General features: G+C 54.9%; 1 pseudogene, besides 1 other annotated feature; it reads left to right on the forward strand.

Annotated features, from left to right (window-relative positions):
• On the forward strand, positions 615-852 carry HSPE1P24 (heat shock protein family E (Hsp10) member 1 pseudogene 24; annotated as a pseudogene).
• Positions 9,926-10,941: an enhancer, noted in NCBI's record as "VISTA enhancer hs241". NCBI's record gives its function as "enhancer in: cranial nerve[5/5]" and the evidence as "EXISTENCE:transgenic organism evidence [ECO:0001131][PMID:17130149]".

Consider the following 13,834-nt stretch of genomic DNA (forward strand, 5'->3'; position numbering starts at 1 on the left):
TCACAGAAAAAAAGAGTGGGTGATGAGATATTGAAGGATTGGAACATTTTTTTCTATTTCTTATTATATTTTCCATATTTCTCACAACAAACATGGAAACTGCAATGCTTTAGTAATCAGGGAAAGGGGAATTTTTAAGGATTTAGTTCAGCATTTTCCAAACGCTATTTCCACAGCACGTTATTATAATAATAGGTGGCCAAAAGCAAGATTCTGAGGGATCGGGGAAGTTTGACAACGGTCAGGTAAAGAGAACATAAGCGGCCCGGCACGGTGGCTCACGCCTGTAATCCCAGCACTTTGGGAGGCCGAGGCGGGTGGATCACTTGAGGTCAGGAGTTCAAGATCAGCCTGACCAACATGGTGAAACCCTGTCTCTACTAAAAATACAAAATAAGCCGGGCGTGGTGGTGAGCGCCTCTAATCCCAGCTACTTAGGAGGCTGAGACGGGAGAATCACTTGAATCCCGGAGGTGGAGGTTGCAGTGAGCTGAGATCGCACCATTGCACTCCAGCCTCGGCAACAAGGGCGAAACTTCGTCTCAAAAAAAAAAAAAAAAAAAAGAGAGAGAGAGAATATAAGTATGAGTACAAAAACTAAGGTGGCGGGAGGCATGGCAGGACAGGACTTAGGAAGTTTCTTTTGCTCTTTGACCCAGTATTGATTGAAGGAGTGCAGCCGAAACTGTAACCAAACGAGGCCTGATGCTTCCAGAGTAGTATTGCAAGCAACAGTAGCAGCTTTAAAGGGAAGGTAGAGAGATTCAACTAGTTAGAGTGAAAGCTGGAGATCAAGTTATTCTCCCAGAATATGGAGGCACTAAAGTTGTTCTAGACAACAAGGATTCTTTCTTTTCTTGTCTTTGTTTTTTTGTTTGGTGTTTGTTTTTGTTTTTTTGGGTTTTTTTGAGACAGGGTCTCACTCTGTCGCCCAGGCTGGAGTGCAGTAATGAAATCTCGACTCACTGCAACCTCTGCCTCCTGGGTTCAAGCAATTCTCCTGCCTAAACCTCCTGAGTAGCTGGGAGTACAGGCATGCGCCACCACGCCCAGCTAATTTTTGTATTTTCAGTAGAAACAGGGTTTCACCACGTTGGCCAGGCTGGTCTCAAACTCCTGGGCTCAAGTGATCCACGCTCCTCGGCCTCCCAAAGTGCTGGGATAACAGGCGTGAGCCACGGTGCTCAGCTGTCTTTTTTTCATTTTTATTTTTTTAAGATTTTCTTTATATTCCTGAATTTATAAAGCAGTAATTATTATAGGAAGAAGAAACTTCCGTATCCAGCCCATATTGTCAACCAAGAGGTTAGGTGAGTTTTTGCTTTAAGGTTTTAGATGAAGAGATGCTTAGGGCGAGGTATGTGGAAAGGGTTGCAGAGCTTCCATGCCCTCTCTAGGCATGCCACCCACCAGCAACCTCCACTTACTCAGAGATCCGGAAACCAATAAGAACTATTTCTTATCTAGAGATGATGACATTCTTAGGATGTATGTGGACTGAAATTAATCGCTTATTGAAATGGCATCATATGAAACTGCCACTCCACTGCAGTTCTGAAAGTTACACCATGTAAATAATTTGTATGTCTCTTCTATAAGAAACTAATAATATCTAAACCAAAAAAGACAGAGACCAAGCAGTTTCACCTCCACAGGCCTTCTCAGAGCCTTTACAGTCGCACCTATCATGGCTCAGTCAACAGCGTTTCCTGGATGTGGCGGGAAAGGAAACAGAGCAGCTCGTGGTGAATCCTGGGTACCCAGTGGGGCTGGGGGTGCTTGGATGCCATCTGTACTGGTGGGCCTCTGAGGGCTGCTGGGGTCTCTCCAGGTTTCCCCAGACAGAATCTGGAATGCGGGCCTGCATCAGTCTCTTTGGGTCCCCTCTGCAAGCCTCTGCCCACCTGGGGTGTCCTTCCTCTGCACTGACCCCCACCCAACCCTCCCCGGCAGCCTGAGCCTCCCTCACTCTCTTGAGCTCCAGTGGCATTGACTGAGCTTGGGTTGGGTGGTTACTGGTGCCCCTCATCATGATTTCATTATGGTATTTGGATGTTTTTCTGCATGACTAGGGGGGTATTCTGTCCTCCCAGCTGACTTGCAAGGTCCCTGGAGGCGAGGCTGGTTGTGGGGACTTCCCCTGGGTCTCATGTAGCACTGGGCGCAGCCTGGACACACTGCAGACACACCACAAGCATTTCACTGGGAAACCCACCCCCACGACCCCCTTCAAGCTGCCCTCTGCTCCTGGAGGCTGCCTCCCTCCCTTCACCCAAGTCAAGACACCCAGCTTCCCCAAACTTTCCCAGGGTCCCGCCCCCAAATTCCTGCTTGCCTCCTCCTCCTCCCTCATGAAGAACACCTGCCATCCCTTCCTCCAAGAAGTCCTCCATGATTCTCAATCCAGGCGGAAGTCATCCCCTTCTCGGGCAATGCTAGAAAAAGCTGCTTCCCCACCCCCCACGCCTCCACCACCACTACACACGCACCTGTGCCAGGCCCAAAAGCTTGGGGAAAAATGTGACAAACGGAGAGGGCTCTGGCCTGTTTTTCCGGAGCATCCTGAATCCAGGTGACCTCTTGGGACTTGCTCACTGCTGCCAACTCACCCAGGGTCTGAATCATTTTCTCTTCTTGGGTTTCAGTTTGCCTGTCTCTCCAATAGGAACAGGAGACAAGAAAACCCTCCTTCCCTGTTGTTGAAGGTGTCGCTGTCTTTGTGTCCACTGCTGGGGCAGCCGCATGGAGCGGGGTTTGCTTGGAGTCCACTCATATTAGCGCGTTTCCAGGACACCATGGCCCTGTGTGAGGTGCTCATGTTTGTGGGTATGAGGCCTTGAGGACCTGACCCTGAGACCTGTGAATCCTGGCGAGTGTGTGTGTGTGTGTGTGTGTGTGTGTCTGTCTGTCTGTCTTTGGGCATATGTACCCATGACTCTCGAATGGCTCAGAGCTCCCTCCTTCCCCCTCAGGTCCCGAGGGAGTTCGGCAGGCCTGGCCGTAGGGCAGGAGTCCCAGGCAGACTGGGGCCAGCTCAGCCCAGGATACAGCCTCTCCCTGCCCTTCCGCATCCCCAGCCCAGCTGCAGAATTCAGACTAAGTGAGGGAGGACTCATGTTCCCTGGGGTGAGCCACACCAGCCACATCCTCTAACGGGGTGACCAGGAGTCCCAGGGGTCAGAGGGCCCCCTCAAGGGCTGTCAGACCCCAGGGCCCTGGACCTGCTGTAGGAAAGCCCCATAAGGCCCTCCCTGCCCTCCCACAGCAGGCACAGCGGGGAACACCTCACACCCTGCCCAGAGGGACCTGGCCTTGACTCACAGCCACAAGCAAATGGAGTGAGGATCCCCTGGCGCCCCGGCTCCCCGCCCCCACCCTTGGGGCTGCTCTTCCCGCAAAATCAATCATCCTGCCACTGTTTGCGGGAAGTGGGGGCCGGCAGGAGGCCTCGCAGGGCCCTGGCTCCCTTGCAGGGTGACAGCTCTTGAGTGCTGCCCCGGCTCACTGGTGATGCTGGGGGCCTGGCAAAGCACTACCGAGAGAATCCCATCCTGACCTCTGGACCCCTTCCCAGCTGGCCAACCAGGCCCAGGGCTGAGAGGGCGGGGTGGTGGGAGTTACCCCGGGGCTACTGCCAAGGGTGCAGCAGACAGGGCCTTGGAGACAGAGGAGCCCCCCAGAGGCCAGGGTGGAAGGAAGTAGCAGGAGGGCGTGTGGAAGTAGCTTGAGCTGTGTTAAGTGTCTCTTCCATCTCTTCCACAGGATGTATGACCTGATTCATTCATTCGTGGGTTCAGGGGGAGGTGACCAAAGACTTCACAGTCCTCCAGGAGCTGGAATGTTATGATGCAGGGGTCTTGACTGGCGGTGGGGGTGGGCCAGGGTGATGAGCAAGGGTCCCAAAGACTTCCTCCCTCAATTGGCCTCGGCTGCCTGGATTCCACCATAGAGAGCCATTGCCTGACCCCAGGGAGGCGGCCCTCCCGCTCTCCTTCTGTCCACATGAACATGCCCCATGGCTGGGGAACAGACCAGGAGCTGCCAGGTCTCTGGTACCCTCTGCTGCCACCATGACTCTTCGTAAAAACAATAATTGAAGCCTCACACTCAAAGAAGGCTTTAGGACATAGAAAATACCCTGTAGGGGGCCGGGCGCGGTGGCTCATACCTGTAATCCCAGCACTTTGGGAGGCTGAGGGGGCGGATCACTTGAGGTCAGGACTTTGAGATGAGACTTGCCAACATGGTGAAACCCTGTCTCTACTAAAAATACAAAAATTAGCCATGCGCGATGGCACACGCCTGTAATCACAGCTACTCAGGAGGCTGAGGTAGGAGAATCCCCTGAATCCGGGAGGCAGAGGTTGCAGTGAACTGAGATCGCATCACTGCACTCCGGTCTGGGTGACAAGAGCAAGACTGTCTCAAAGAGAGAGAGAGAGAAAGGGAGGAAGGGAGGGAGGAAGGAAGAAAGGAAGGAAGGAAGGAAGGGTCCTGTGGGGGGTCAGTGGGGGAGCAGATGTAATGATTTTCACCCCATTTTGCAGATGAGGAAACTGAGTCTTGGAGAAGTCGGGCTGCCTGAATGAATGAGCAAATGGCAACACGTTGGGGCAGTTAGAGCGCAGGGAGGAGGAGGAGGAAGAGGAGGCGCTGGGTGTGTGATGGGGATGTGGGGGTGCTGAAGTTGGGGGCAGGAGAACATCTCCCAGTTGATGTGTTCTCGTGGGAAGAGCACTGCACTGGGAGTCCTGCGGCCTGGTAGAGCCCTGGCTCCTGTACTGACACGTTGAGCAAGCCCTGCCTCTTCCCTGGGCCTCCACCTCCCCCTCTGTAAAATGGAGTTAATAGCCCTGCCCTGCCCCGTGGGGATGTTGCAGGGAGCAAACCAGTGCTACTGGATGGGAAAGGGCTTTGGAAACCGCAGGGAACTGCCAGCGCACCAGAGTCATCTGCCCACGTCTGCCTCCCGGCCTCGCAGTCCTGGGGGAGGCAGCCCAGCTGGATCTCGGGGTCTAGAGCGTGGACCTTTGCCCAACTTTGGAGTTCCAGAGCCTAACCTCTCTGGGCTCCACTGGGCTCAGCAGCCTCCCCTCCAGGCTGTGAGCTCAGGGGACCTGGAGAGGCAGCCCGAGATCCACCCAGAGCCTCCTCCACCTTCCCCAGTACCTGGGACGGGGGTGTGTGTGGCGGGGATGGCAGGCCGGGCTGCCAATGTGAGTATTAGCTGGCATGAAATAATTTGATGGTGGTGATAAAGGCTGGGCTGCCCGGGGCCCCAGAGCCCCACCCAGCTCCCCCCGCCCACAATTCCGCCCCCTGCCAATAACATCGAGGCTGAGCTGTCTGGGTTCCGGCTCACCATTCTCAGGTGATGAAATCCCGGCTCAATCAGGCTGGCTAGCGCTGCAGTTACCAAATCGCTATAATTGAGATTAATTTGGGGGCTGATTGGGTCAGCCCTTGCAGGCACCCATTAATTAGTAGGGGAGGCTCAAAGCCCCAACAGCTGGGCCCTGCACCCAGTGGAGCCTGAGGCCACTGTGGAGGGGGGCACTGAGAGATGCCCAGGTAGGTGTGTGTTCCAGAGGAGGGGGCAAGCTGGACAGAGCCTCACCCACCCCATGCCACTCCCGCCTCCTACCCAGTCCTAAGCTCGCTCCCACGCGCAGGAGGGGAGGGGACAGCAGAGCCTTTGACTCAGGCCCAGAGGCAGCTCTGGGTCTCTAAGGGTTAAAGGGCTCATTACAAGGGTGGGGAGAGGTGGAGAGGGTGCTCAGGGCTCCTTGGACTTCAAACAGCTCTTGCAAAACTTCTAGATGAGTTAAGTGCAAATGAATTTGAAACAGACAATGAAGTTCCCTTTAGAGACACCTGGGCAGAAAAATGAAGGGAAAAGCGCCTTAGGGAGAGCTCGTTTGTGGATTTTTTTTTCCTGAACCCAAAACACACAGGGAAAAACAAACCCACCCGTCTACTCGTCTACTCCGGGTGCCAGAGGCGGGCAGGCACGCCCTGACTCAGTGCTGGGCTGGCAGCAAGTTGGGCACACACGTGAGGCCCGGGCACACGCTGGGGAGTGGGGGGCAGCGGCACAGACGTGTGTGCAGAGCCGGAAGTTCCGGGCACACAAGTGTGGAAGTGGCACTGGTCCTGGAAAGGAGCGGAGCCCCTAGGCATGGGAGGATGAGGCGGCAGGGAGAGGGCATACGTGTGTGGGTAGCTGGAAGGAGGCCAGATGAGGGTGAGGGGGCAGGGCCCATTTGGGGTGAGGGGCAGAGCTCAGGCCCCGCCCCCCAGGGGCCCTGGCACCCTGGTCACGTGAGTGCTCCTGACCCCGGGGTGGGGCCCTCCCAATTGCCAGGTGGGTGAGGTGTCAGAGTGGGGGCCTCTGGGCCTGCCTGTCCCTCCCCACTCACCCGACTTGCTCCGGTTAATTGCCCGGTGCTTTGTTTTTTCCCTGTGAATCTCACAGAGGGACAAAAGCAAGTTCTGAGTCACCAGGAACCGCCTCCCGCTTCTGCCCACGCTGGAGCCTGGTCCCCACCCCACTCCGAGAACCCAAGGACCCCGAGGTGGTGGGGTCTGGCCCAGGTTGACTTGTGGGAGCCCTGGACCCTGCCGGGTCTGTGAGGTGTCCCCACCGCTGACCAGCACCCCTGGGGCCCAGGCATGTGGCTTCCCTGGGGGCCCTGATGGAGCAGCCTCCTCCCTGTGGCGCATTTGCAATTCATGGCTCCAGCCGAGATTGCATTAGGGCCTGGCTGTCACTCGTGATGAATGTCGCTTGTTTTCCAGAAAAAAACAGGCCCTGGATCCAGAGTGACAGGGCTTCAGGAGGCACCGGCCCTCCCTTCCGTGCCTGAGGACCGGGGCATGGCGGGTGTCCCCAGTGGTCTGTCAGCAGCCTCAGAACCTGACTCCTTCGGGGGCTCTTGAGGATCCCAAATAGGAGCTCTCCCCCAATTCCAGCTCCCCAGGCCTGTCTTCCCATCCCTCAGGTTCTCCCAACAGCCCTGTGGGAGGAATGCTGCTAGAGCAGCTCCACTGGACAGATGAGCAAATTGAGGCCTGCAGGAAAAGGGAAGGTAGGCGCAAGTGCGTGGGCTGGAGGGGAACTGGAGAGGGGTCCAGGGATCTAAAAGCTCAGAGAGGTTCCTGAGGGGGAAGTCTGGGAGACAATCTTAGGGGAAGTGGATTGCAGGGGTGGGAGGTGAAGAGACTCCTTGCAGGCTCTGGCTCTCCCTACTACATCCTGTCTGTGGGGCTGGGCGGCTACCCCGGGACCCAGGACTGCCGTCTGCCCACACCTTGCCCAAGCTCTGCACTCTCTCTTCCTGGCAACTCTTTCTGTCCAGAAGACGGGGGTCCCACAGGTCTCAGGCTCTGGGCTGTGCCTTCTGGCAGCCAGTAGCTTCCATGAAGGCAAAGGAAATGCATTCCTTCCCATCCCAACTCTAATCAGGCCCACAACCGGGCTGGGGGGACGGGGATCTGGGGTGCGGGAATTACCTGGAGGTCTCAGCTGGGCTCCCTCCCACCTGTCCCTCCCCCTTCTCAAAGAGCTCGCGTTCCCCAGGACTTTGGGAACACAGAAGCCCAGATAGGCCTCCACTGTGGCTCAAGGGCTCACAGTGGCTCCCACTTTCCCAAATTTTACTCTGTTTCATCTCTGTTCCTGCCCTCACCATCTGGGAACCACAGCCTTGAAGAGTGGCAGACAGAAGAAAAGAATTCTATCCATGAGTGTCTTGTCAGGCCCATTCCCGGGAAAAAGAACTATGTTCACCGTGCCCCTTCACCTCCGAGATTGAAACAATTTAGGCAGGAGATGAAATGGGTCATGTGAATCCTCTTATCACAGGTGAGGAAACTGAGGCCGGGGGTTCAGAGCAAGAGACAGAGGTTCTGTCCTCTGTTGAAAGTAGTGGCTTTTTGTTTTGTTTTGTTTTTTGTTTTTTTGTTGTTGTTTGTTTGTTTTTCTGAGACGGGATCTCACTCTGTCACCCAGGCTGGAGTGCAGTAGCGTGATCTCGGTTCACTGCAACCTCTGCCTCCCAGGTTCAAGCAATCTTCCCGCCTCAGCCTCCCAAATAGCTGGGATTACAAGCGTGAGCCACCACACCTGGCTAATTTTTGCATTTTTAATAGAGACAGGGTTTTGCTATGTTGGCCAGGCTGGTCTCAAACTCCTGGCCTCAAGTGATCCTCCCACCTCAGCCTCCCAAAGTGCTGGGATTACAGGCATGAGCCACCGCCCCCAGCCGAAAATAGTGTTTTGTTCACTGGTGTATCTCTGTGCCTAGAACAGGGTCTGGTATGGAGTAGGCATTTGCTGAATGAGCGAATGAATGAGTAGTGGCCTTAGCAGGACACAGGAAGCTCTGGGCTGCTGGGGAGGCTGAGCCATGAAGTCTGGCACTCGGGCCCTTCATGCCCCCTCAACTGCCTCCCCCTTGGTCTGGGGATAGGCAACCTGCTGCCTGCTGACACAGTCCCATGGGTGTCCCTGTTGCAAAGCCAGCTGATGGGATGGGGGCCTCGCTTTCCCCCAGTCAGAGTCCAGGTTCCAAGGTGCCCAAAGCTCCACAGCCCCAAACCCACCCAAAGGGACCAAGGCAGTGCAGGCCAGAAGGAAAAAAATACAAAACACCCTTCACTGGAGGTCTGGAGCCTGAGGCTGGGCCCAGATGGGCCACTGTAATCACAGCTCCTTGTGTGCCAGCACCGTGCTAGGCGGGCACTCATTGTGTCATTTCCTCCCCGTGACAGTGTGCTAAGCCGGGTGCTGTCTTCTGCTCATTATACACCTGACCACATCCCTGGAATGGCTGGGCCCCTACTGCTGTCCTTGCGCATGAAACAGCTGGGGAGCCAGCCCCTCTGGTGGCCCTCCCCTCCCCAGGTAGAGCCCCTGTCCTGTCCCGGCATTTTTGCCCAATGTGGAAAGCCTTGCCCAGAAGGCCAGGCGTCAGCTCCTGCCAGCTGCCTGCCCCATTTGTTCCAGGGCGGCCCCAGGGGCATCCTCACAGTCGTCCAACACTCAGGTTTTCCTTGGCAGCAGGGCTAGAGGAACAGCTCTGCATCCATGTCAGTGACCCCACTCCCTCTGCCGCAGCCCCAGTCCCCAGTGTCTGGAGGCCAAACGGTTTTCCAGAAGCCAACCCTGCTGAGTCCCTGACCCTTCCCTGTATGGGCAGATGTTGGTCCCATCTCCTACGATGTGAACAGCTGAACTGCACTCTGGAGCAGGCCAGAAGCCAAGGCTCAGAGGCAACATTGTCCCCACCTCCAACTGCACCTTCCAAGCGAGGCATGGAGCCAGGCAAAGAGAACACTGGCTCTAGAATGAGCTGGGTTCAAATCCCAACACTGTCCCCTCGTAGCTGTGTGACCTTGGACAAATGGCTTCCCCACTTTGAGCCTCAGCTTTCTCATCTGTAAAATGGGCATGGCCGTGTCTCACATCACACAGCGGCTATGGGGCTCCCGGGAGCTACATGCAGGCATTGGATTCTACACACTTGGTGTGTGGGCACCATCCCTCCAGGCCCTGGTCCCCATCCACCCCTGTCATCTGTGCCTGCTGCTGTGCCACTTCTACCACCGTCTATCAGAGCCAGCTGTGCCTGCCGCCATCGGGGCACCATGCCCAGCCCCATATACCCCGGGGGCCCTGCCACGCCCTGTCCTCCCTGCAGCCCACACCATCCAGCCTGCCTCAGGCTCCCAGATGAGAAGACTCCCGCAGCACCCCCAGGTCCCAAGGGCACCCTCTTTATCTTCACCCACGGGGGCCTTCTGCACCCCCAGGGACTCCTCACCAAGATCTGGGACCCAGGGGCCATGCCGGAAGCCCCTCTGCTCCCAGAGGGCAGCCCCCGCCCCTCCGCTACTCTGCCCGGCTGGTACCACATCCTGCCGCAGCCCTGCGTCTATTTCATCAGGCCAAGGATTGCTTTTTAAATAAATCTAAAAAACTCCACTTCCTCCTTGGCAAGTTCATTTTAAGTCATTTTATCTCTTTCCCCCCTATATTTTTCCCAAATAATGTGATTAAGTGACTCAGCGCCGGCTGCCTCTGGCAGGCCTGGTCTCTAATTCAGTTTGAGGACGGCCACCTTTGACCCCACTCCACTCTGGCTAAGAGAACACTTAAGCAATATTCTGCCGCTTCCTACAGAGGGAGGCCGGGTGGGGGGGCCCTCAAGGGGTGGGGGCGGCGGGGGGCGGGGGGAAGCGAAACAAACTTTCACATAAAATTATGGTATATGGATAATTGAGAAGTTTAAAAACATGAATCTAATTGTACAGTCCCCGGAGAAACCCATATCGAGCCACCCTATAAGAGGCCTGGAATCTCCCGATGATGATTTATTGCTAAATCCTAGTATTTTTCAATACATTATAGTTTTTAAATTGTGTTTAAATTGAGTGTAGAGGAGCAGAGGCCATTAGGAGATGCAGAAATGATGATTATATTTAAATATTCATGCACGCAGTACCTTATTATTGAATCTGAACACTAACAAAATCAATATTAAGTGCGGTTTGACATGAATTTATTTATGAATTTCGACTTTCTAAGTACTGTATTTTTTCACTCAAAAATTGTGAGTATAATGTAGTAATGATATCAAAACACGGTGTCAGGGAGCATTAGCTGGGGAGGTTATAAACCTCTGGATTAGGGGGCCCAAGATTGCCCTCAAAAGTGCTTAGTATACAAAACCCAATTCTTTTTTTTTTTTTTTTCCCTGTTTCCGAATCGTGCAGATCCACATACACTCCGGAGAGGGCGGGCGGGAGGATGGGGAGAGGAAGCAGGGCTGAGCTGTAGTAGCAGGCACGGCCACAGGCACTCAGCTCCGTGGAGGCTGGGGTGCAGGGGAACCAGGGTTCTCCACCAGCCCCTCCCCTGAGTTCTATGCCCCAGAAGCAGCCCCTCTGGCCAGGGGGTCCCTGAGGATCTGGGGTTCAGACTCCCTCGAGGGACACACTGTGGGGGTGGGGAGAGCCTGGGGGTGTCTTTACATCCCAGACTGGATTCTGGAGGCAGGGTGAAAGCTGGAGGCGTCTGGCCCCAGGAAACCAAGGCAGAAGGAGGTGGGAACAAAGGCTTTGCCCCCAGATTCTGGGTCCTGGCACCAAGTGGGTGCCCAGGGCAGAAAGCTTGGGCCACCGCTTCCTGCTCAACCCTCCTGCCCCGATGCTGGCAATGATGTTGGTGACGATGAGGAGGGCATCTTTCCTTCCTCTCCCTGAGCCCACTGGGGTGGGAGGAAGGGGCCTGGTCCTCTCCATCCAAAGCTTCTCCTTCATAGTATGGCCTGGAACTCTTCCCCCACCTGCTGCCCCTGTGCCACCGCTGCCCAGGAGGCCACCAACAGCTTCAGGGTTTCCCTCCCTCCCTCCCCTCCAGAGAATCGATGTCTGTGTGCTGGCAGGGGCAGCCCCCAAGCTCGGCATAGCCACAGCCTGCGGTGGCCTCTGTGCCCCAGGAACCACCCTGCTGTGCCCAGTTCACATACACCAGGATCCACAGAGCCCCGTGTAGACAGATAGAATGACACACTCATAGACAGAGCATGGAAATGAATTAGAGGCCAGCTAGAAGGAGACTCCACTCTTCAGATGGAAAGTAATTCCTTGATAATGCAGGCTTTCTGGAAACAGGTAAACTACATTCCCCAACGGGAAAGAACTGGACATCACTGCTGGTCCCTGACTTAGGCAGATGACTCCCAGCCCACCCCACACTGTGACACAAACCTGACTCTGACCATCAGTGGCCCCAGGACACTCTAGATAGACTCATAGCCCTGCATCCATAAATCCACACCCACTGCCCAGTACTCACCACACCCTGCTTCTAGGGCACCCACCAGCACCTTAGCACACAGGCTCACACCCCAACACCCACCACTCTCCCATTCTCCCACAGAAACAGTCACACTGGTAGGTGTTGCCGAGCACACAAGCTAGCACACACACACAGAACCGCAATCACCTTTACACAGTCCCACACACCTCAACAACTTCTACACGGGCAGACCCTGACATGCATGCAGACACCCCAACACGTGGACACTCTGACATACACACAGGCACAGCCAACATTCACATGGCACCCCGACATAAACACGAACGCCCTCACTGACATATGGCTACCCCAACATACACACGGGCACGCCCCCACTTCCCAACACCCGGCTCAAGTGCTTAGCACGTCCACACTCGCCCGCAGCAGGCTGGGGCCAGGTGAGCCTGGCCCTCCAGCAGCAGGAAGATGCAGCCAGGGTCGGGGGTCAAACAGCACTTAGAAGGTTTGATTCAGAATATTCATCAGTCTTTGGGGGGGAAAAGAAGAAGCCCACACATGGGGGAGGACGAGGAAAAAACCCAACCCCGACCCTAAACTCTTTTCCAGTAAATCGATGTATTTTGCTATAATTTTATTAGGAATATAAAAGGAGCGTTTTCAAAAGTGCTTAGGACGCAAAAAAAAGAGGCGGGCGATGGAAACATTAGTCTGTCTGTATTAGCAATCCCATAGTCACATTTTATTGTTACTGTCAGGATGCAAAAGCTGTGCTTAAAACAAAATAATACATAATGTATTACTGAGGCATAAACATCAGTGAGCCGCGAGCGGCCGGTGTTTTTATTTTAAAAAGAAGATGCAGAAAAAAAAAAGTGGAGGGATAGAGAGTGGGGGGAGGGTGCGGGCAGCCTCCAGGGATCAGTCAAGCTGGGACCCCAGACCCAGAGGACTGGGGAGGCCAGAGAAGTGATGGAGGCTGACCCGTAGGGATGATTTCAACCATAGAAGAAATAATGTCACCCCTGTATCAGTCCCCGAAAGTAGCCCCAGGCTCAGGGTCCTCCTACCTGCCAGCTCTGCCTTTGGCGCCTTAGGGTTTATAAAACTCTGGCCCCATGTCATGCCCCGACCTCGAGTCTCACCACGTGCCAGGGAAGAAGGCTGTGCGGCTCTTCTTGTCCCTGTTTTGTAGGAAAAGACACTGAGGCTCAGAGAGGGGCAGTTGTAGACTTCAGGTTGTGTTGTCAGTGAGCCGTGTATCCAGCACTCGAATCGGGGCAGAGTACTAGAGTCCCCGTTGTGTGCATTTTCTACTGTTCTGAGCTACCCAGGTGCTTGACAGTCTCCAGGCAGGGCCCTTAGGCCCTCGGGCCCCTGAGGTGGTCTCTTTGCACCACCCTTGCCCCCTGTCGACCATTCTCCAACATCAACAAATGTAATCTTCCAAAATGCAGACCTTGTTTCTCCCATGCTGACACCTCTAAGCCCCGTTCCCTCCTACCTAGGAGACAATTGTGGCCCTGCAGGATTCTCCTCGGTCTGGCCCTGCCTCGGGCTTGCCTCCTCCCCCATCCTCTGTGCTTGCTCACTCAGTGGGAGACCCACTGACCTTCCTACTCTTTGAGCCCACTAAGCTCATGCCTGCCTTAGGGCCAGGGCTCCTGCTGACCCCTCTGCCTAGAAAATCATTTCTGGCCCTTCATAGCAAATACTACCTCCTCCGAGAAATCCTTCCGGATCACCTAATCTAAACAAATCCTCCATCACTTTTTTCTGGCCTTTGACAGCTAATACCATCTCCTCCGAGAAGTCCTCCTGGATCACTCAATCCAAACAGACCCTCCATCACTTTTTGTTTTCTCTGATCTCTCTGGTTTTCTTTTACTGGGAATATCAGGAATTTCAACAGCAGAATGTCTAGTGCCCGTTTTCCCCAAACTAAAGAGTAACCCCCGAGAAAGCATGGGCCTCACTGGTCCTGTTCACTGTGGTATCCCCAGCACCTGGCAC

This window comes from Homo sapiens, chromosome 1, assembly GCF_000001405.40.
Source record: "Homo sapiens chromosome 1, GRCh38.p14 Primary Assembly".
Taxonomy (NCBI): Eukaryota; Metazoa; Chordata; class Mammalia; order Primates; family Hominidae; genus Homo; species Homo sapiens.